At 41.9% G+C, this 24,914-nt stretch overlaps 1 annotated feature.

Moving 5' to 3' along the window:
- Nucleotides 18,667-18,961: a silencer, noted in NCBI's record as "tiled region #13064; HepG2 Repressive non-DNase unmatched - State 24:Quies". NCBI's record gives its function as "represses a minimal TATA promoter and a strong SV40 promoter by Sharpr-MPRA in HepG2 cells {active_cell/tissue: HepG2}" and the evidence as "EXISTENCE:reporter gene assay evidence [ECO:0000049][PMID:27701403]".

Genomic DNA, 24,914 nt, shown 5'->3' with positions numbered 1-24,914 from the left:
AACCTGAATATTCCTATGACTGTTACAGAAATTGAATTTAATTTAAAATATTCCTATAAAGAATACACTAGTACCAGTGAGTTTTAAATTCAGGTTTTACTATTCAAGGAATAGACAATATTCCTGCACATTTTTTTTCAGAGAATAGTTTTACAAAATCAATGTATAAGAAGTATATAATTTTGATATCAAAACAAATTTGAGAAAGGGAAATTATGGACTAATCTCAAACATTAACATGGACAGCAAAATCTCAAAAAGATGTTAGCCAAATATAGCAGCAAGGTATAAAACAGATAACCTGTTGTTACTAAGTTGGTTTTATTCCAGAAAGCAAAAATAGAAAATATCTAAATTTATTTCTTCCACATTAACAGCTTAATGAACAAAAAGCTATGAGCAGGTAAATAGAAAAAGAAAGCTTTACTTAAATCAATGTTCATTTATGACAGAAATTTTTCTTACTCAAACTGTAAAACAGCCATTTAGATTCTAAAAGCCTGTAGCAAATGTCATACTCAATGGCAAAATACTTAAAGCATTTCTTCAAGCCACTGCTATTTAACATTGTATTGGAGGAACTAAACAGTGCAATAAGACAAGAAAAATAAATAAAAGATACATAAATCAGAAGGAAGGAATAAAACTGTCATTATGTGCAGAATAATATGCCTGTCTTAGAAAAATTCAAAAGAATCTAGAGACAAACTATAGAAATAAGTAGAGAGTTGAGTAAAGTTATTAAGCTTTACTAAAGGTTATATTGATCTTATATGACCTTATGTAGACATAAGACAATATACAAGTTAATTGTACTTCTATACAACAGCAATGATCAACTTAACAGTTAATTTAAACAAATACAATTTACAAAGAGCAATGACAATAAAAGTAAACTGAGAATAAATCTAATGAAAGATATGCAAGGTATTTGTACTGAATATTATAAAACTTTATTGAAGACATCTTTAAATACTTAAATAAATTTAGATATATTGCATATTTATGGATAAGAGAAGACAAGGAGGGGTAATCAATCAAAAATGTTGAAATAATTATACTTGTGGAAAAATAAAATTACATGCTCCCCTCTCTCATCACATTCATTGATGATGTTGGATCAAGCACTTAAAATGAAAAGCAAAACTTTAATACTTTTAGAAGAGCACATAGAAGGTATGAATGTTATGACTTCAGGGAGGGAATGGTTTCCTAAACAAGGCTTAGGAGAAACCACATCCCTAACAAACTGACACCCACATACATACCATAAAATAAATCATAAAGGCAAACATTGATAGAGTTGACAATATTTAAATACGTCTACATATCTAAAGACACCATAAAGAGGGCAAAAGGCACACCACCAACTGGAGAAGTTATTTACTGCCCATGTAACTCATAAGTAATTGTATCTAGAAGACGCAAAGATATCCTGCAAGTCAATAAATGGGCAAATGACACAAGTGGGCATTTCCTAGAGAGAGTTATGAATATCCAATAAAATCTATGAAAAGGTGCCCACTCTTACTGGTAACTGTGGAAATGCAAATTAAAATAAAAACAAGAAATCATCTCACCCCCGACATGTAGGTACAAACATAAACATCTGATGGACTGGCTATTCTCTGTCCCCCAAGCTTCCCTTCCCCACTCTGTGTGCTTTATACTACCCTCCACGGGCTAAGTTACCTGGGTCTCATGGCTGCTGGTTTCTGATTAGCACAGATTATGCGGTGGGAAGAGAGAGCTCAGAGTCCTCCCCTGGCCCCTCCTGTGTGTCTGCTTCTCCCCACTTCTGCAGCTTTTACAGAGCAGTCCTCCTCTGGTCTCTGGCAATACCCACACTCCCTTCTCCCTTCACCCCAGGAGTGGTACCAGAATCTCTCACCACCTCTGGTTTGTCTGGTAATTTGGTGCTGTTTTTGGAAGTAGTCTCTTCACCAAGGCCTCTTCGTGGAACAACTTGCTTCCTGCTGGAACCCTCACTAATACGTCTGACAGTGACTCCAGAAATCGAGGAGGCAATGAAACAAACAGGCTTCATTTATTGCTGGTGGGAGTGTAGATGAGTACAAGCCCTTTGGAAAACAATGTGCCATCTGATACATTTGAAGATGCACATACTTTACAAGCCATCAACTCCACGTCCTCATATGTCACCCCAGAGGAACTCCAGGATACGTGTACTTTAACATCAGTCTTATTTTTAATAGAAAAAATAAATAAAGGAAATAACTCAAATGCCACCCTCGATAGCATGGCAAAAGAAATCGAGATGCATAAACACACGGGGACACCCAGTGCAGAGGTGATGGAACTAGACTGCATACTTGTATTAGTCTGTTCTCACATTGCTATAAAGAAACACAGGAGGCTGGGTAATCTATAAAGAGAAGGGGTTTAATTGTCTCATGGTTCTATAGGCTGTACAGGAAGCATAGTGGTTTCTGCTTCTGGGGAGGCCTCAGTAAACTTACAATCATGATGGAAGGTGAAGTGGGAGCAGGCTTCTTACATGGTTGCAGCAGGAGCAAGAGAGAGCAAGGTGCCACACACTTTTAAAAGACCAGATCTCATGAGAACTCTCTCACTGTTGCAAGGACAGTGCCAAGCAGGGTTGTGCTAAACCATACACGAGAAATCTGCCCCCATGATCACCTCCTACTAGGCTCCACCTCCAACACTGGGGATTACAATTCGACATGAGATTTGGTGGAGACACAGATCCAATATCGATACTTAATGAAGGATGCATGACTCTTAGAAACAATATTGGTCTGCAAAGGCAAGTCAGGAGAACATAAATATAATCCATTTATATTAAGATGGAAGCTGAGAAAATGAAAGAACATATTGTTTAGGATTACACACTTAATGTGGAAAAACCACAAGAGAAAAAGGGAGAGATTAATATAAAATTCAGTCTAGTTGCATGTATGATATATCTCATAATAGAAAAATACTAAAAATAAAAATATATTTATTATGGACATTATTCTCCTCCAAGCTTATATTGGGTGCTGGAGAGCATTTTATTTTATGATTGCAATATAATTAAACCATATCCCCACTGTTGGGCATGTGGTCATGGGTGGCACATTATCCCATTTGACCCTCTTGTTCATTCTGGAAGATTCCATCATCCGTGCTTTGGGATGAGGACCTGCAGGGCAGGTTGGTGACTAGGGGATGCTGATGCCACACTAGGTTTGCTGCCTCCCTTGGATCCTGGGCTCTCTCTATCCTGAAGAAAGCTTGAGGGCTTCCTTCCAGCTGCCTGGAGCCTGGGCATCAGCCTCACTGCTCCAGGTTCAGATATGGTATGGCAGGAGGCTGGAGATGGTCAGGCTGGAGCCTGCTCGGATGGTAAACTGCTACAAACCCATTGCCTGGCAGAGGAGTAGGACTTTTCCTGCCAAAGGTGGGATGTAATCCAGGCTCAGAAAGCTCCGGAGGCTGCATTTGCCACGCCTGCAGGGACCTGTATGTCTCTTCTGGCCTAACAGGGGGTGCTGGCTTGGCCTCCCTTGAGGGTCTCCAGCCTGAGTCTAGGTTTACCCTGGCATCCCCATGCAACCCTCGGCCCTCAGCCCTGCAGGGTCTGACCCCTAGTCCTGTAGGTCAGCACAGGGCCCTGCCTGAAACCTGGTACCTCTGATCCAAGGCCCGGCTGCCCAAAGCCCTGGGCCAGGCTTCTGAAAATATGTGCCCTCTGGGTACTGCCTTGTAGGATGGTTTCTGAACCACAGTCTCAAAACCAAGCTCACTTTATTTATGGCAAGAGAGCTGAATATTGCAACAGGTGGACTTAGATTTGGGGATCATTTTTTTTTCTGAATAGAACCTAGATTTTCTGTTTTTTTTTTTTCCTTAGAAAGTATGAGCTATATTTTTTGAGTTTGTATCTTGCCAGGCACTGTGTACATATTCTCCATACATGTTTTCTCAATGTATCTTCACACCGAGTGAATACAATTGTCCCCATCCTACAAATAATGACACCGACGCCCAGAGAGATTAAAATTACCTACATCTAAGGGGGAATCTGAGACTTGAAATCAGCTCCGTACAGTTCCATATTCTCTGTAAGCTAATTAGACAGTCCCTGGGCATTAAACTTCTGTGTATTTAAACACTATGCTGGCCTGGTGGGTGACTAAGACATGCTGCCTCTGCAGATTCAGCAGAATTCAGAATCCCTTACCTGGTTCTGATCCTGGCTCTGCCCCCTCCCGGCTGTGTGACTTTGGGCTGGTATGTGTAGCCTGTCTAATTCTCAACCTCTACCTTTGTGAAGTGCCCACAGCAATGGTACCCCTGTCACAGGGCTGTCATGAGGTTAGATGAGATAATGTGTGTGCAGGTCTAATAAGTATAAAGTCCCCAAATATTTATTTTCATTATGGGATGGGGTCAGGGTAGGAGATTATTGGAAGAATCTGAGCTTCAGAGCCACAGAGACTGGGTTTAAATTGTGGCACTCCCAGCTTCTAGCTCGTGGCCCTGGAGAGGTCACTACCCCTCTCGAGCCTCAGTTTACCCAGGTGTAAACGAGGGACACTCCTAATGCCTCATCTGGAGCCTCCTGTAAGAACAAATTGAGGTGCCGCATGCAGAAGCTTGAACTCAGCATCTGTGTGGATTTAAGTAGCAACAGCTACTGCCATTGGTGCCCGGATGTTGCTCCCTGATCTGGCATGCGTGGTTAGGAGATGCAGGGAGACGACAGAGCTGGGAGACAATGGAAACGCCCCCCTGTCCCTCTTAGTTTTTTAGTCCCTTAGTCCCTTTCAGAGACGACCCAGAGGCAGGAAGCAGGCAAGGCTCAGCTGGTGAAGTTGGGAAAACGGAGAAGCTCCTATGTCTCGTTGTTGATTGAATCTCACACCGTTACATCTTGCTCACAGATGTCAGGACTAAATGAGGGAAGCGTGGTGCCTTCCTGACGCATCTGGGCAATTAAATAGCAATCAGCAAGTGTAGTTAACCAGGGCAGCGCTCTCCTCAATGGCCCTGAGTGTGTCCGTGCATCATCTGCCGTCGGTGCTCATTCACTGAGTCTCCCTGTCTAATTTGGGGCAAAAAGTTAATTGGAACTTGATGGTGGCTGGATGGTGACCTGAGACAGACAGGCCAGGTAGAAATGTTAAAAGGGAAATCCATGCAGGCTCCTTCCTGGCTCCCCAGAGCAGGGTGAGTGTCACCAGTAAAGAGGGGGGATGACCATGAGGGGAACCCAGAGCTGGGGGCAGTGGAAGCTATGTTCTTGCTGTCTCCTCTTGTTATGGAGTCATGGAAACGATTCAGATCGAATGTGCCTTAGGTGGTTATGTTTCGGTCATGGTTTTAGGGGGTTGTTGCCAGTAATTTCATTAACGCTTTTGATGGTCACCAGAGGTCCCCAGAAAACTGACTTTCTCTCTTTGGTAGTGAGGAACCCCACATGCAGCTTCTGGTGCAGCCCAGAGTCACCCTGTCATTCTCCCAGGTGGCCTTGCATTGGGGGCATGCATGGGGTATGGGGGGTGTGGACTGGGGATGTCCCAGCTGTGGGCCTCAGTCTCACCGGGAGAACTCAGCTGGCTTGTGGTTATTGCAATATCATCACAAACAGCATGGGCTTTGTAGGGAGGCTCTGCTCAGCAGTTGCTTGCTTTGTGACGTTGGTCCAGTCTCCTAACCTCTCTGAGCCCAGTGTTCTCTGAATAGTGATTGCAATGCTGTAGGAAAAGAGAGAAATTGGTACCAACCAGTGTCTTCCATGCTTTGCCTGCAAGGACGGCTCCTCATGACACGGGTTAGGGGACACAGGCCTGAGCTTCCTCTGACCTCCTGACTTAAGCAGCCCAAGCACAGTGGCTGGAAGGAGGCCCTGGTGAAGGACAGCGGCTGAGGGGTGGAGAACAAGAGCAGGAGGTGGAGACCAGCTCTAGCGGCACCTCCTTCCCGGGAGTTCCCTCCCTGTCTCCTCCTCCGTCATTCCCTCCAGTTTTCCTAAAGCTCCCCAGGCCCCCCACACTTGCCTACACATTCGGATTCCATCAGGGATCCCTGAAGTAAAGGGGGAAGGTACCTGGCCCCAGAGGGAGCACCAGTGTCTGATGGGCACAAGAAATGATGGCCCCACGCGTAACTGAGTAACCTGGAAAGGGGATCTCGACAGACAAGGAGGCACTGAGAGGGACAGACAGGAGGAGCGCAATGGGAAAAACTTGAAGGAGGACGGCCCCGTTCTCTTGGGGATCTTAAAGCCATGTGTAACCATCTGGGTCTGATTCATGATAGAGATGGTTCAGCCTTCATCTAAAAATCATGATAAGGGTATTATGGTAAGAAAATACTGGGACTCCAGCAAGGAAAGAGTGTGGTGTCTGGTAATGCCTGGTCCAGCGTGGTGGTCACAGGCGTTGCCCCTGCCTCCTGCGTGAATGGAAGGAAGGTCACAAACGTGGTAGGTGAGCCCTGGATGCTGGGGCTGGGTGTTCCGCCCTCCGGGAAGCCCACCTGGTTGTTTTCCTGTGAACAGGAGGTGTTTGCTCTGCCAAACCTTGGTGTTTGTGGATGATCCTACCCCCACCCCATCCCACTAAGAAGCCTGAGAGGGTCTCCAGCATCTGACCCCGACTGAAGGGCCACACCTGGGTCCCAAAGCCCAAGAGACCCACCCCTCAACCTGGGGCTGGAGCCACATATCCCAGGCATCCTGATTCCACTTGGAATCCCTTCTGGGGAAGAACGAGGCATTGTGAACATTTTTCCTAGGAGAGACTGAGATGAATGTTGGGGAAATGGGAACTGGAAGAACAGATCTGTATTTTTCTTGAAAGGATCTTTCTGCTAAGAAACCCAGTGAAAAGGGGACCAGTGTCTTCACCAGCAATGAGTGGGCACCTGTGTTCCCCAGAATAGGAAGTGATGAGAGCAGTGGCTCAAACTATCAGGCAGTGGCAGCCTAGACCGGTAACCCCTGCTGCTGGTGCAGTGGGCCGCTGGATGCAGAAGGGGCCTAGGAACTGGGCAAACTGAGTTGTTTTTTAAAAATCATCTTTATTAAGAATTCATTTATATGCAAGAAAATGCACTAAATTTAAGTGTATAGTTTGACGAAGTTTTTAAAATAAATGTATATATTATGTAACTACCACAATTAAGTTTAGAACATTTCCATCATCCCCCCAAAATTCTATTATGCCTTTCTTTCTTTCTTTCTTTCTTTCTTTTTTTTTTTGAGGTGGAGTCTCACTCTGTCGCCCAGGCTGGAGTGCAGTGGCGTGATCTCGGCTCACAGCAACCTCTGCGTCCCGGGTTCAAGAAATGACCAGAACCTGAAATTTATATTTAAAGGGGAAGCAGAGTGTAAAAGTTTGAAAAATTTGCAGCCCACCCATGTGGTGGAAAAGAAAACCCCATTTCCAAGGTAAGAATCGAAGCAGGCTGCAGAAATTTGCATAAGTAAAATGGAGCCAAGTGCTAATAGCCAAGACAGTGGGGAAAAGGTCTCAAAGGCATTTCAGAAACCTTTGCAGCAGCCACCGCCACCGCCATCACAGTCCTGGAGGTGTGGGAGGGCAGATTGGTTTCGTGGGTCAGGCCTAGGGCCCTGCCATCCTGTGCAGCCTCAGGACTCTGCTCCCTGTGTCCCAGCCACTACAGCACCAGCCATGGCTCAGAGGCCCAGGTACAGCTTGGGTCACTGCTTCAGAGGGAGCAAGCCATAAGCCTTGGTGGCTTCCATGGGGTGTTAAGCCTACAGGCATGCACAATGCAAGACATGAGGCTTGGGAGCCTCTGCCTAGATTTCAGAGGATGTATGGAAAACCTGGATGTCCAGGCAGAAGCCTGCTGCAGGGGCAGAGCCTTCACAGAGAATTTCTACTAGGGCAGTGCAGAGGGGGAAGTGTGGGGTTGGAGCCCCCACACGGAGTCCCCACTGGGCACTGCCTAGTGGAACTGGGAGAAGAGGGCCACCATCCTTCAGACCCCAGAATGGTAGAGCCACCAACAGCTTGCACCACGCACCTGGAAAAGCTGTAGGCACTCAATGCTAGCCCTTGAGGGCAGCTGCAGGGGCTAAATCCTGCAAAGCCACAGAGGTGGAGGTGCCCAAGGCCTTGGGAGCTTACCCTTTGCATCAATGTGGCCTGGATATGAGACATGGGGTCAAACGAGATTAGAGCTTTAAGGTTTAATTACTGCCCTGCTGGGTTTCAGAATTGATTGGGGCCTGTAGCTCCTTTCTGGCTGATATCTTTCTTTTGGCACAGGAGTATTTACCCAATGCCTATACTTTCATTGTATCTTGGAAGAAACAAACTTGTTTTTGATTTTACAGGCTCATAGGTGAAGAGACTTTTGCCTTGTCTGAGATGAGACTTTGGACTTTGGACTTTTGAGTTAATGCTGTAATGAGTTAAGACTGTGAATTATTGGGAAGTCATGATTGTACTTTTGCAATGTGAGGAGGACACGAGATTTGGAGGGATCAGGGGTGAAATAATTTGGTTTAGATCTGTGTCCTCACCCAAATCTCATGTTAAATTGTAGTCCCCAGTGTTGGAGATGGGGACTGATGGGAGGTAATTAGATCATGAGGGCGAAATTCTCATCAATGCTTTAGGACCGTCTCCTCTGTGCTATTCTCATGATAGAGTTCTCATAAGATCTGGTTGTTTAAAAGTATGTGGCACTTCCACACCTCCCACCACCACCACCACCACCACCACCATTCTCCTACTCCAGCCATGTAAGAGGCACTTGCTTCCCCTTCACCTTCCACCATGATTGTAAGTTTCCTGAGGACCCCCAGATGCAGAAGCTGCTATACTTCCTGTACAGCCTGTAGAACTGTGAGCCAATTAAACCTCTTTTCTTATAAACTATCCAGTCTCAGGTGTTTCTTTATAGCAGTGCAAGAATGGGCTAAGACACAACCCATATGATTTGCCTCTCTTGCTCCCTGAAGCCCACAGGGACTTTACAGGTATGCTACAATGACTCCCTCTCAGTACAGCATGACCCATGAAACTCACATCTGCTTGCTTTAAACCCACCAACTACAGCTCTCTGTGGGAAATCTGCTTAGGTAATGCCCTGAATCTCAGTAAAGGCTCTGGATTACAGGTCTCTCTCTGACTCTCTTGCTCCTCATCCACTGGTTGAGCATGAGTGTCCCAGACAGCTTCCCCTTCCCATTGGCCCTGCCAGGTGTGCTACCCTCTTCTCTTCGTAGTCTGTAAGTTATAAAATGCTTCTGTTATTTCATGTTTTGTGCTGCCTCCTGTGTGTCACTCGACTGACACACTTGAACCTAACTTCCTTCGTGGTCAGGGCTAGATTTTATAGCCACTCTCAAGAGAGAGACCTCAGTACCTGATTAGAAAGAATGGATACTTACACAAAAATTTCTCACTGTTGGTTAGTTTTGTCTGTTCTAGACTTTCACATGAAGAGAACCATATAGACTTCCTGTGTGTGTCTGGGTTTTTTTTTGCTTAGCATCATGCTTTTGAGATTCATCTAAGTAATATTTATTTCACCGTATGAGTATGCCACAATTTGATTATCTATTTCCTTTTATAGACTTTGAGTGGTTTTAAGTTTTAGAATATTTTTAATAATGCTGCTATAAACATTTGTATATACATATTTCTGTGGAGTTGGTTTCTCTTGGAAAACCATCAGGGGAAGTAATTGCTAGGCCCAATGATAAGGGTATTTTTAACTTTATGATAACCTCCATAGTGTTTTTCAAAGTGGCTGTAATATTTAACACTTCAACTAGCAATGTATGAGAGTACCAGGTACTCCGCATCTTCACCAGCACTTAGTATTCTAAGTATTTTTAATTTTAACCTTTCTACTGAATGTGTTGTGGCATCTTTCTATGGTTTAATTTGCATTTCCCTGATGACTGACAGTGTTGCACACCTTTTTTTGCGCTTATTGTCCATTTGTTTATGAAGTTACACTTCTATTTTATGTATATATACATGTTATTGTATATTATATACAATAATATTATAAATATTATTTTCCTAAATGACTGTTCAAATCATTCACCTGTTTTTAAATTGGGTCATTTTTTCCTTATTATTAAGTTGCAATAGTTCTTTATATATTTTAGATAAAAGTGTTTTGTCATATATACATTTTTTTTCCCCAGGTGGTTTGGAATTGTTGGTGGGAATGCAAAATGATACAGATACCTGAAGGATGGTTTTACAGTTTTTTAAATGATATTGAAATACAGTTATCCAGATAACTGTTTGGCTATAGTTATATAATCCAGCTATTGTACTCCTGGGTTTTAATACAAGAAATGAAAACATATATCTAGGATTTGTATGCAAGCATTTATAGCAGCTTTACTTACAGTTGCCAAAACCAGAAAAAAAACCCAAATATCATTCAACACATGAATGGATGAACAGATTGTGCTACATTCACATAATGGAATGCCGCTCATCATCAATACAAAGGGACTAGTGATACACACAGCAACACGGATGAATCTTAACATCATCATGTGAAGTGGGAGATGCAAGACCCAGAGACTTCTAATATATGATTCTATTTATACAGCATTGTAAAAAGGCAAAACAATTGTGATAGAAAACAAGTCACTGGTATTCACAGGTCAACAGTTGGGAGCAAGTGAGTTGACTACACAGGGGCCCAAAGAATGTTCTGTGGTGAAGGAAGCATTCTGTGTCTTCATTGTCATGGTGCTCCCATGACCATGTACGTCCATCAAAACTCAACAAATTGTAGATTTAAAATGGACGGGTTTTATTTCATACAAGTCATACCACAATAAAGCTAAGAAAAAGAAATGAAAACAATTCATCTGAAAGTACTTAATGATTTTTGATGCTATTGTAAATTATATTTTTAAAAATTCATTTCCCAATGATTCACTGCCAGTATATAGAAATATATTGATATTTGTATATTGATCTTGTATCTCATGATCTTGCTAAATTCCTTTGAGCAATTGTTACCATACCATGAATGGTTATATATATTATAAGCCATGCAAATCATCAATATTATGTTTTCTTTAGATGATAAATTATCATCTAAAGAAACTAAAAATGAGAATGTTTTTATGTTTAGCCGAATATTTATTATTCCACATGTTTTATATTAATTTGTACAGATCCAGGTTTTTGTATGTAATGAAAATAAAAATGTCTTCAGTTTGCTTTTGTCATGTTTTTGTTATAATAGATATAGCATTCTGGCTTGGGAGACTTTTTTTCCCCACCTTTGAATTTAGAACGCTTGAAAAATGCCATGTCATTGTCTTCTGGCTTACATTGTTTCTGAGAAGTCAGCAGAAATTCTTTGTTTAATCTTCTTTTTTCTCTTACTGCTTTTACAATTTTATCCTTTACCATAGTCCCCAGTGTTGAATTGTAGTCCAGAAATTTGATTATAAAATGCCCTGTGTTGTAGTTGTTGTTGTTTTTCTTTTTGGTATTTATTCTGCTTCAAGTTTTGACCATGGTGGTCTGTGACTTCACAGTTTTCATCAAATTTAGGAAAATTACAGCCAATATTTCTTCAAATATATTTTATCCTCCCCAGTCTGTAATCTCCAGTTACACATATATTGGACTGCTTGCTATTTTCCCATAGACCCCTGAATGTCTAGTCACTGATCTGATGTTTTTTTAAGTATCTCAGTCTGTTCAGGTAATTTCTTTTTTTCAGACATTGTATATATTATCCTTAGAACTTCCTTTTAGTACATTTTTAGAGTTTCATTTCTCTCATCATCATGTTTTAGTTTTGCTTTGAGTTCTTTAATGTATTCACAATGGCTATTTTAATGTCCTTGTCTTCCAATTCCAACATCTCTGTTATTCCTGTGTCTGTTTTTATTGGCTGATATTTCTCTTGATTATGATTCACATTTTAATTCTTCTTTTCATATCTTATAATTTTTATTGTTTGCATGTTACATTTTTGGGTGTCTGGATTTTGCTATCTTCATTTAAAGAATGCATAATTTTGCTTGGTAGATAGTTGTTTGCAGATCAGCTTGATCCTTGAACGGCTTATTTTTAAGTTTTGTTAGTGTTGAGGGCAGAAGGCGTCTAGAATACCTTTTACTATGTGGCTAGTTCAGCCCCACTACAAAGGTGTGGCCCTCTGTGGTTCTCTACAGAGTGCTCTAGGTCCTCTCCAAGGTCTCTATACTCTTACTAATTGGAGCTTTACAGTCTCTCAGCCCTGTGTGGGCTCTGAGAATCATTCATCTAACAGCTCCTATCCTTGTGGAATTTCATTCCACGCACAGAATTTAGTTCTAACTTTAAACACTTAAGGAGGTTCTTATGCAGATTTCTGGAACCCTCCTCTTCATGACTCTCCACTACTTTACCCAGCAAAGCCCAGCCACGTCCATCTCCCTGAGCTCCAATCTCCACTTTTTGAGCGAAGGAAACTCACTGTGCTCTGTCTGGACCCTCCTTTAAGTAAGTTGTACCTCCATAAAGCTAAAAAGAAAGTTAGGCAGCTGGGTGCGGTGGCTCACGCCTGTAATCCCAGCACTTTGGGAGGCTGAGGTGGGCGGATCACAAGGTCAGGAGATCGAGACCATCCTGGCTAACACAGTGAAACCCCATCTCTACTAAAAATACAAAAAAAAAAAATATCAGCCGGGCGAGGTGGCAGGCGCCTGTAGTCCCAGCTACTCGGGAGGCTGAGGCAGGAGAATGGCGTGAACCCGGGAGGCAGAGCTTGCAGTGAGCCGAGATTGTACCACTGCACTCCAGCCTGGGCAACAGTGAGACTCTGTCTCAAAAAAAAAAAAAAAAAAAAAAAAAAGAAAGTTAGGCAACCACAGGGCTCACCTTATTTGTTTTCTTTCTTTTGGGAACCATAGTCAGCTCTGCTTATTTTCCAGTGTCTGATAACCGTTGTTTTATACGTTTTGTTGTGTTTCCTGGTTGTATGACTGTAGGCCATGTCTAGCCTGGTTTCTCCATCAAGGGTAGAAGTAGAAGTTAGGCAAGCTGTGTTTTAATGCCATCCCAGGCTCTGCCACTCCCTGGTTGTATGGCCTTGCACGCCCCATTATGCCACAGAGTCCAATTCTGCACCTGTAAAATGGGTCAGTAACATTTACCTTAAGGATTATTGAAAGGATCAGAGGTGTAAAGTACTATCATAGTAGTACATAGCACATCCTTGAGAAATGATACCTAGCCATAGAGGTTGTTAGCTTCCACACTAACTGGCTGTATGACTGGCTGTATGACCTTAGGAAATCCACTTTACTATTTCCTTGATCCAGAAAATGAAGACAGGAGTCATTATGCTAATCATAGCCAATGCCTGGCCAATGGCAAGTGCTTCACAAATGCCACTTCATAAGTATTCAGTGGCATACTGAACTGAACTGACGACCATGTAAAAGGGGTACAGCAAAAGGACCCACTGAGAGACAAATGTTAGGTGGCATAATTTTCTATGAAAGGCTCATGATTGCAAATGTCTGTCCTATTTGCCATTCTGACCCAGAACCTAGAAGGATGCATGGCTACACATAGTGGGGGTGCAACACATATTTATTGAATAGAAGGGGCACACGTTTCCTCTGCAAACATCACTTAGCAAACACATTGAAACATTGTAATTAAGAAGTGCTACGCCAGGCAGCTGCACCCTTCAGCCAAGTCAGGATTATCAGCAGAACTTGAATTCAGCAGACTGAAAAATTTGAGATCAAATCTTAGCTGCATCTGTTTGAGTCTTGGTTTCACCTTAGATGAAACAGAGATGGCAATCATCAGGGTCCCTATGTTGCTGTGTCACTGAGAGGATTAAATGAATAGTGTAATTGCTTGCACAAGGTAGATTCTCCTAAATGCCAGCTGTTGTTAATTGGGGGAGGGGAAATGGGAGGACTGTCTCTTGACTTCCTTTCATGAACCTGGGGCACCTGAGCCTTTTGCAGGTGGGGCTGTAGACCCCTGCCTAGATGCAGGATGATACCTAGGTGAAAATCTGTGTGTTGCATTCACCGTCACCCCAGAGAGGCTACCACCAGTTCCCTGCCCCATGGCTCCCAGCATCTGAAGGAACCAGCGGGTTTGTTCTGAATCCAGAGAGGAAGGCAGGTCATGCGGTGATGTTTGTTCGGTATTCAACCTCTCGTAATCTCAAGGAAACAGAATTAGTGCATTAACAACACTTTATCTTGGGTGCCAGTAAAGACAGGTATCAGTTTTATATCTCTTTATGGAAGTGAAATTCAATACAGATAGCACCTTTTATGGTTTGCCAGCTTTTATGAAATGCAGTAAATCAGTGCCCAAGTACGGCTGTTTGAACACCCTGTTACCCCTTTGTGGAAAGATTGAACTTCATCCGATCGCATTAGTTGAACGCAAATGTTTCATCCCCATCAATCTCTCCCAAGCTTCTGTCCGCTGGCTGAGTCTAGTTTTGCGAGGAAAATTTTTTATTTGGTTATCCTTTCTGGAGGCATCATAAGCCTCCACTGGTGGCTGTCCACTCTGATATCACCTAAAGGTTCACTGGCCGTGGCCAGGCAAAATGCGGGGACAGTGCCTGGCACAGGGTCCGTCCTTATTATTAGTGTTGTTACCTTTAATTGTACACATGTAAAGTGATATATTCTGAAGCCCACTCTTGATTAGGATGCTAGATTATGATCTTCCTCCTTTTTATAGTATTCTCTTCGCTTTGGACAATTTCTCAGACCCACTTATAGAATGTGTATATTGAGTTCAAGTCAGAAGCAATAGTTGGAACAGATCCTCACTCCTTTGCCCAACTTCCTCTTCTTCCTGGGCTGGATGTCTTCCTCTTTACTGGCAACCTGTGGTTAGCAGAATAATGCCTATCATATGTCTATGACCTGATCCCCAGAGCCTGTAAATAATATCACCTTACATGGTGTGACGGTTAATTTTATGCATCACCTCCCACTTGACTGGGTTAAGGGATACCCAGATAGCTGGTAGAGCATTATTTCTGGGTGTGTCTCTGAGGGTGTTTTGGGAAGAGACAAGCATTTGAATGGGTAGAATGAGTAAAAAAGATCTGCCTTCACCCATGGGAACAGGTGTCATCCAATCTGTCACGGGTCTGAATAGCACAAAAAGGCAGAGGAAGGGTAAATTCTCTCGTTGTCGCTTCTTGGGCCAGGATGTCCATCCTCCATTGCCCTTGGAAATCAGGGATCCTTGTTCTTGGGCCTTCATGCTCCGGGACTTACACTAGTGTCCTCCTGGTTCTCAGCTCTTCAGACTCAGATTGGACAACCCCACCCGCTTTCCTGTTCTCCAGCTTGCAGATGGCATAACATGAGACTTCTCAGCCTCCATAATTGCATGGGCCAACTCCCATACTAAATCATTTATGTATCTATGTACATCCTACTCATGCTGTCTCTTGGAGAACCCGGCTAATGTAGCAAAGAAGAATTGATGTTGCAGTTAAAATTCAGGTTGTTCATCAGCTGATCCCGAGCTGGGGAGAGGATGCTGGATTATCCAGGTGGGCCCAATACAGTCATTAGAGTTCTTAAATGGAGAATAGTGGGGCAGGAGAGAAGGTCAGAGTGATGCAATATGAGAAGGACTTGACCGGTCATTGCCGGCTTTGCAGATAGAGGAGGGGCCATGAACCAGGGAAGGTGGTGGTCTCTGGAAGATGGAAAAACCAAGGAAATGGGTTGAGGGGGGAAATGCCTGTTGGGGGTCAACGTTCTCCTAATTCTGGAGTAGGGGCTAAACTAGAGTGCTAGAATGCTCAAAAGAATCAAGCGAAGAAGAATACTTCTGAAATAATAAATAGGACTTATAGTCATTCTAGGTCGGTAGATGGTTAAAAAAAAACCTGGCTGAAATAAAATAAACTACAAAGAAAATGGGTTCTTCCCAAAAGAGCATAGCCCTGTGACAACTTGGTTTTTAGTCCTGTGGGGCCCATTTGGGACTTCTGATTTCCAGAACAGTGAGATGATACATTTGGGTTGTTCTAAATCACCAAGTTTGTGGTAAATGGTTACAGCAGCCACTAGAAATCAATACATCACCCTATCCCGACCTTTATTTAGGTTTTCTTCAACCCTCCAGCCCCTCTGAGGCCTGCCTCCCCAGGAATCCTCCACTGACTTCCACTGCCCACGGGGACCCCTTTGCCCCAGAATTCTGGTTCTCCTCCGGCTTGTTCCCTCTGTGCCCTTTCTTTCAATGAGTGCCCAGAGGGCAGGGCCAGACCTCTGTCCTTGGTAGGAGCTCGTGGTTCCTGCTGCTGACTCAGGCCCCATGCTGTGGAGGGCGTGTGCCTACCACCTGCATTACCTCCTGGGTGCTGGACTCTGGCGAGTAGAGGCACTTTGCAGGGATGGAGTCTGAATTCACAGGCTTGACCCAAGGGTCCCAAAAGGCTAAAGGTTTTTTTCCATTTGGATAACAGGATGGTGTTCTGATTTTGCTCTGGGTCAGTAGAATTGTAGAATGATACAAATTCAGTCTAGCATTGATATAGTTTGGCTGTGTCCCCACCCAAATCTCATCTTGAGTTATAGCTCCCATAATCCCCACATGTTGTGGGAGAGACTCAGTGGGAAATAACTGAATCATGTGGGTGGTTACCCCCATGCTGCTGTTCTCATGATAGTGAGTTCTCACAATATCTGATGGTTTTATAAGGGACTTTCCCCCCTTTTGCTCAGCACTTCTCTTGCCTGGCGCCATGTAAGATGTGCCTTTGCTTCTCCTTCACCTTCTGTCATGATTGTGACGCCTCCCCAGCCATGTGGAACTGTGAGTCCATTAAACCTCTTTTTCTTTATAACTTACCCAATCTCAGGTATTTCTTCATAGCAGTATGAAAACGGACTGATACAAGCATGCTACTTCTTAAACCAAGAACAAACATTTTAAAACATTGCTTTTATTTTTAGGATCTTTTATTTTTCTCTGTAAAAAATTATTAATTTTAAACTTTTGTCAGCATGTAGTAGGTGTATATATTTATGAGGTACATGAGATATTTTGATACAGATGTGCAATGTGAAATAAACACATCATAGAGATTGGGGTATCCCTTCCCTCAAGCATTTGTTTTTTGAGTTACAAATAATCTTATGGCACCCTTTCACTTATTTTAAAATGTACTTTAAAAACATTTTAAAACTATTTTTTTCCTTTACAGATAGCTGCATTGTATCTGTCATGATGCCCTGACATTACACACATAGTGAGTGTCTGGTGATATTGATGGAATGAGCTATTATGAGACTAAGTGGGTGGGTTTGGGTTTCACTCACATTTTGGTCTCTTAACCAGGCTTGTTGAAGATTGTGAAGCTGGGGTGGAGGAGAAAGTCTGGTCACTTGTTGTTGGTCCAATCCTTCCTCAGTCTCTGTCTTCAAGTGTGAGCGTGGGCTGTCTCTTCCTTCTTTGCAACTGGGTGTTGTCATCTACTTTTTCTGGATCAAGGGACTCTAGAACAACCCTACCCCTGGAGAACAGGTCCCAGTCAGCGCAGCTGGGGAGGGGAGGCAGAGTCTGCTCATCCCAGGGCCCTCAGATACCCTCACTGTTCTAGTGTGGGTGTCCCTGGCCCCATGTACCTGCCCTGGGCTCTCCTCTCCACCTGGGCCCTGGGAGCCCCTTGCCACAGGTGTAGAAGCCTGAGACACCGGGAAGGACATGTTCCCCAGGGTGGCCCTATTCCAATGGCCAACAGCTGGAGAGGGAGACCTGCCCAGTTCCCTCATCTTGAGCTGTAACAACCTCTTGAGGTATAACTTCCACTCCAAACTTCCTTGTATGATCTGCTGATATTGGGGCTGTGCCTGAGAGGGCACCATGCTGGACCAGCACTCCTTCCTACCCTGCTTCCCCTCTCCACCTTTATTTCCAGACCACATTCTCCTGAAAGCACACAGACCCTTTATCTCAGGGCCTGTTTCTAGAGAATGAACCCACAACATCCCCTCCTCCCAGATGATTTCTGAACCTTCAGGTGACTCAGAGCCAGCTTCCCAACCTCTGAATGGGGTGAAGACTCAGCTGGTTGCTTGGCTTGGCGAAGCAGTTGTATCAGTAACCAACTGAGTGTAAAGGGCCAAGGATTTGAGTTTCAGAACAGAAACCATCCCATCCCTGCCTCCCTGTTCTGGGGACAGGAAGACCCAGTACCTTTCAGATAGGACTCAGAGAGGTGCCTGGCAAGTGGCTGGGCCAAGCAGAAGATTCTGGAACATACTGCTTTGGGAACAGTGATGGATGGGGTAGCACCTCCAGACCCCCACTCCCCATTTCTTGGTCCAATCTCTGAGCCTGCAGAGTCCATCTGAATGTGTACCACTGAGCAGAGCAAATTTCCATCTAGCTCGGCCCTTTCTATTAATAGTTGGCGCTGTTAGAGGCCAACTATTGATAGAAAGATGAAGGCCCATCAAAGTGTCATGGAGCATGGTAGGAGCCCAGCACCAGTCAGCTTTGTTCTGGTAGTCTCTGAGCCCTAGTTTCCTCTTCTGCAAAATGAGGACACCCATGCTGTTCCTCTCTTGAGCATGGGGCGAGGATCAAGGAGAACAAGCGCGTGAAAAGCCTTGGAAACTGTCCAGCACTTTACTATAATGTCCATTTTCCTTTTTTGACACTGTTTCCCGCCTCCTCTGCAATCTCAGCCTTCAAAACTCCCAGCTCATGAAACAGAGAGACACTGGCCCCTCCTTGGTGAGTAGACACTCCTCTTCCTCCAGCCCCTCCTGGCACGTGCAGAGCACACAGCAGGCAGGTGTTAGGAGAATTATGTCTGCTTTTTATGACTCACTCACTGTAGCACTTGGAACAATTCCAGGTCCTTGTGGTTCCTGATACGTTTGCAAAGTCACAGATGCAGGGAATGTTTGTTCCTGTTTCAGCAAGGTAATCCTCCACCCTTGGGGTCCCTGCCTGCCAGGAGATGAGGGTGGATGATGAAAAAAAGTCACACTGACGGGGCGGTGACCAAGCACTGCACTTGCTCATCTCAGTGTCCTCAGCGTGGCAGGAGGCAGGTGCTGTTACCACCCTGTTACCGGCTGAGGAAGTTGAGGCACAGAGTGGGTTAGTCACCTACCTACTGTTGCACAGCCAGACAATGGCCCTGTGGGGAGTACCGCCCCAGGCTTTTCTGATCCTGGAGGGGGTTTGTTCTTGAGACCTCCAGAGGCATTTTCTACAACAGCTCTTGGAGAGCCCTGAGGTACTGATTAGGGAAAACACCAGAGCCCTGGGGCACTAAGGTTGGCCCTCACTCCTCTGGGGCTGACAGGTAGCTGGATTTTCATGTGTCTGAATTTGAGCATTCTAGAGATATCATATAAATGGAATTTCTCCGCCTATGACTGTTTTATTTCACTTAGCATAATGTCTTGAAGCTTCATCCAGGCTGTACCATGTGTCAAAATTTCCTTCCCTTTTTAAGACTGAATAATATTCCATTGCATGTACACACCACATTGGGTTTATTCATTCATCTGTCCATGGACACTTGTGTTGCTTCCACATTTTAGCTATCATGAATAATGCGGTTATAAACATGGGTGTCAAATATCTGTTAGAGGCTCTGTTTTTACTTCTTTTGAATAAGTAACAAAAAACGGAATTTCTGGATTATATGTTATTTCCATTTTTAATTTTTTGAGGAACTATCATACTGTTTTTCATAGTATATATATAACATTTTATATTCCCACCAACAGCGCACAAGAGTTCCGATTTCTCCACATCCTCATCAACACTTCTCATGTTCTGCTTTTTAGATGGTAACCATCCTAATGGGTGTGAGATGTATCTCATTGAATTTGCATTTCCCTAATGATTAGGGATGTTGAGCATTTTTATGTGTTTATTGGCCATTTGTATATCTTCTTTGGATAAATGTTTACTCAAGTCCTTAGCTCATTTTTGAGTTAGGTTTTTTTGTTTTTGTTGTTGTGTTTTTGTTGAGTTTTAGGAGCTCTCTATATTCTGTATATTGATCCTTTATCAGATATATGATTTTCAAATATTTTCTCCCATTCTATGAGTTGTTTTTTTTTTTACTTTGTTGATACTGTCGTTTGATGTACAAAATTTTTTATGAAGTTCAATTTGTCTATTTTTTTTCTTTTGTTGCCTGTGCCTTTGGTGTCATATCCAAGAAATCACTGCCAAATCCAATGTTGTGAAGCTTTTCCCCTGTTTCCTTCTAAGAGTTTTGTATTTTCAGGTCTTACATTTAGGTCTTAGACCATTTTAAGCTATTGTTTGTATATGGTTATAGGTAAGGGTCCAACTTCATTCTTTCGCATGTGAATATCCAGTTTTACCAACACCATTTGTTGAATAGACCATCCTTTCCCCATTGGATGGTCTTGGCATCCTTGTAAAATATCATTTCATCATATATGTGAGCGTTTATTTCTGGGCTCTCTATTCTATTTGTCTATATGTCTGTCTTTATGCCAGTACCACATTATTTTGATGACTGTAGCTTTGTAATAGGTTTTGAAAACAGGAAATGTAAGTCCTCCAGCTTTCTCTTATTTTTCAAGATTATTTTGGCTATTCAGGGTCCCTAGAGATTCCATTTTAATTTTAGGATGGGGTTTTCTATTTCTGCAGAAAGCATCATCTAGACGCTGATAGGGATTATGTTGAATCTGTAGGTCACTTTGGGTAGTACTGACATCTTAACAATGTTAAGACTTCAAATCCATAAATACGAGATGTGTTCCATTTACAATTGACTCTTGAACAACATTAGAGTTGGGGTGCTGACCTCCTATGCAGTCAAAAATCCATGCATAACTTTTTACTTCCCAAAGACTTAGCCACTAATACCCAACTACTGAGTGGAAGCCTTACTGATAACATAAACATTCAACGAACACAAATTTTGTAGGTGGTATGCATTATGCATTCTTACAATAAAGTAAGCTGTTAGAGAAAAGAAAATGTTACTAAGAAAATCATAAGGAAGAGGAAATGTGTTTACTATTCACTAAGTAGAAGAGGATTATCATAAAGGTCTTCATCCTTGTCTTCATGTTGAGTAGGCTGAGGAGCTGGAGGAAGAGGAGAGGGTGGTCTTGCTATCTCAGATATGGAAGAGATGGAAGAGGAGGCAAGAGAAGAAAGACAGGCACACTTGGTGTAACTTTATGGAAATACGTTGTAATTTCTATCTGACTCTTTTGCTTTTTCATGTCTTTAAAAATGTTTCTATATGGTACCAATCCTTTTCCCACCGTATGCTTTAGTTTTAGTGCCTGTATCATAGAAGGGCTCAGGTCTTAAAAAAGAAAAAAAAAAAAAAAAAACAGAAGCTGTCTTGAACAATCAGAACCCTTCTGCCAGATCGTCCAATGTTAATTTGTTTCTTGGCACTACTTCTTCTACATTATCTTCTGCATGGTCTGGCACTGGTTCAGAAGCACTCATCTCCTTCAAGTCGACTTCTGTTAATTCCTCTGGCATGATGTCTATTAGCTCTTGAATTTCTCCAAGTCTATATCTTGAAACCCTTTACACCTACTTTTTTTTTTTTTTGCCATATCCACAATCTCTTAATTTCCCTGATTGACTCTCTTGTGAATCTTGTGATGTCAGGCACAACATCTGGACACAATTGTCTCCAGTAAGAATTCATTGTTTTAGGCTTGATAGTTTTCACAACTTTTTGTATAACAATGTTGGCCTCTTCAATGGTGCAGACCTTCATGATGTTCCCTCTGTTAGTATTCTTTTCTGTAGCATTGATAATCCTTTCCATAGAGTACTGTGTGTAATGAGCCTACAGATCCTTATGACCTCCCGATCTAGAGGCTGAAGGGGAGGCACTTTGTTTGGGGGCAGTACACCACTCCAGTGCCTTCAGTGTTGAACTCCTGGGATTCTGGGTGGCCAGGGGCATTGTTCAATATCAAAATAACTTTATAAGGCAGTCTCCTACTGGCAAGGTATTTCCTGACTTTAGGGACAAAGCATCAATGAAGCCAATCCAGGAAAAAATGTTCTCATTTTCCAGTCCTTCTTGTTGTACAACCAAAAGACTGGCAGCTGGTGTTTAATGTTTCCCTTCAAGGCTGGGGGATTGGCAGCTTTATAGATAAGGGCAGACCTGGTCATAAATCCAACTTGATTTGTACAAAACAGTAGAGATGGCCTATCCCTTCCTGTCTTAAATCCTCCCACTCACTTCTCTTCCTTATTAATGAATGTCCTTTGTGGCATTTTTTTTTCCAGAACAGGGCACTTTTGTCTGCATTAAAAATTGGTTCAGGCATATATTCTTACTCCTCAGTGATTTTCTTAATGGTGTTTGGGAACTTGTCTGCTGCTTCTTGGTTGGCAGAAACTGCTTCTCCTGTTATCTTGACATTTTCGAAGCCAAACCTCTTTCTAAAATTATCAAACCATCCTTTTCTGGCATTAAATTCTGCAGGTTTAGATCCTCCACCTTCTTTTGCTTTAAGTTGTCGTATAATGGCTTCATTTTTTTGACTTATGATAGTGTATAGATATACCTTTCTTATAGCAATCCTGCACCCAGATAAAAGCTGCATTTTCAAAATAGGATAAAAAGATATTTTGCAAAAAGTTCAAGATTTTCATTCCTTCTAGCCTAGCTGCAGTGATGGCTCCATGAATTTCTTTTTCTTTATTTACAGTGGTCCTTATACTGAATTCATTTATCTTGAAATTGAGGGCAACGGTAGCTGCAGAGCTTAATCTACAGTACATTACCAAGCAATTCAACATTTTCCTGTAATGTCATGACTTTTCTCTGCTTCTTGGGAACACTTCTAACATAGTGGCACGTTGTATGGGTCCCATAGTGTTATTCAAGGTTTACAGTATTGCACTAAATGAGATGAAAAACAAGTAAGAACCACAAATTATCACACTTTACTGAGATATGCAATTTACTGGAGAGATAAACTGCTCATACAGAGATGAATAATGTCACATAACATTTTAAGTGGATGGATACTCTTGAGTTCACTGCAAAAGCAACAGGAGGTGGCTACAAAACTATCACAATAGTACAGTATTATTATAGTTAATTTTATGCAGTCGTGATTGAATATTACATATTTACATTTGTTTACATTTCTCAACTGTGAATAGCACCATGTAAATACCATATAAGTCTGTTTGTATGTGTAAATTTTAATAAATTTTAACTTTTTGTAATAAATTTATGTATATTTTATGGTAGTAAATGATAAAATAGACTAGTAGCTACATGTATTTTATTCATTCATAACATACCTAATTAATTTTTCAGTATTTTTCAATATTTCTAGGCTATGTGGTTTGTCTGTGTTTTCAAACTATCACAAATCTTCAACAAATTTTCTGACGTACTTGTTTTTGAAAATTCCTGTATAAAAGTGACCCCGTATGGTTCAAACCTGTGTTGTTCAAAGCTCAACTGTATTTATGTCTTCTTTAATTTCTTTCAGCAATGCATTTGTAGTTTTTATTGTACAAGTCTTTCACCTCCTTAATTCCTAAATATTTTATTCTTTTTGATGCTATTGTAAGCGGGATTTAAAAAATTCTTTTCAGGTTGTTCGTTGCTGAAATAAAGGAATGCAACTGATATTTTTGTGTGTGTTGACTTTGTACCCTGAAAGTTTGCTGAATTCATCTATTACTTCTAACAGATTTTTGTGGAATCTTTGCAGGTTTTCTACATATAAGATTATATCATCCCCCAAAAAAGATAACTTTATTTTTTCTTTCCAATTTGGATGGCTTTGATTTCTTTTCATGCCTAATTTCTCTGGCTAGAACTTCCAGTTTCAGTAATGCTGGCTGTAGAATGAGTTAAGAGGCATTCCCTCCTCTCCAATTTTTTGAAAATGTTTGAGAATAATTGGTATTCACTCTTCTTCAAATGGCTGGTAGAATTCACCAGTGAAGCCATCAACTCCAGGGCTTTTCTTTGTCAGGAGAATTTTGATTACTGTCTCAATTTTCTTGCTAGTTTCAGATCTATTCAGATTTTCAATTTCTTCATTATTTGGTCTTTGTAGGTTGTGTATTTCTAGGAATCTGTTCATTTCATCCAGATTATCCAATTTGTTGGCATACAGTTGTTCATAGTACTCTCTTATAATCTTTTTTATTTCTGCAGATTGAATAGTAATGTCCCCACTTTCATTTCTGATTTTAGTAATTTGAGTCTTCTCTCTTTGTTTTCTTAATCTGTCTAGTTAAAGTTTTGTCAATTTTGTTGATCTTGTGGTTTCATTGATTTTTATCTATTTTTCTAGTCTCTATCCCATTTAGCTTTGTTCTAATCTTATTTCCTTCCTTCTGCTAGCTTTGACTTTACTTTGTTTTTATTTTTCTAATTCCTTAAGTTGTAAAGTTAGGTTGTTGATTTGAGATCATTCTTGTTTTTAATATAAGCATTTATAACTACAAATTTTCCCCTTCATACTGCTTTTGCTGTGTCCCACAAGTTTTGGTATATTGTGTTTTCATTTTCATGTTTTTTTCTAAGTGTTTTCTAACTTACCTTGTACTTTTTCTTTGATCCATTTGTTGTTGAGAGGTGTGTTACTTTTCCACATATTTGTGAATTTTCCAGTTTTACTTCTATTATGATTTCTAACTTCATCTCATTGTGGTGGAGAAAATACTTTGTATGATATTTATCTGTTGAAATCTATTGAGACTTACTTTGTTGACCTGATATATGGCCTGCCCTGGAAAATGTCCCATATGCACTTGAAAAGAATGTGTAGGCTGTTGTTGTTGGATAGTACGTTCTGTATAAGTCCATTAGATCTAATTGGTATTTTGTTGTTGAAGCCCCTTAAGTAAGTTTCCTTACTTACCTTCCATCCTACTTATTATTCTATTCATTAT

Source organism: Homo sapiens, chromosome 1 (assembly GCF_000001405.40).
Source record: "Homo sapiens chromosome 1, GRCh38.p14 Primary Assembly".
NCBI classification, from domain to species: Eukaryota; Metazoa; Chordata; class Mammalia; order Primates; family Hominidae; genus Homo; species Homo sapiens.
This window is presented reverse-complemented; position numbering and strand designations above follow the sequence as displayed.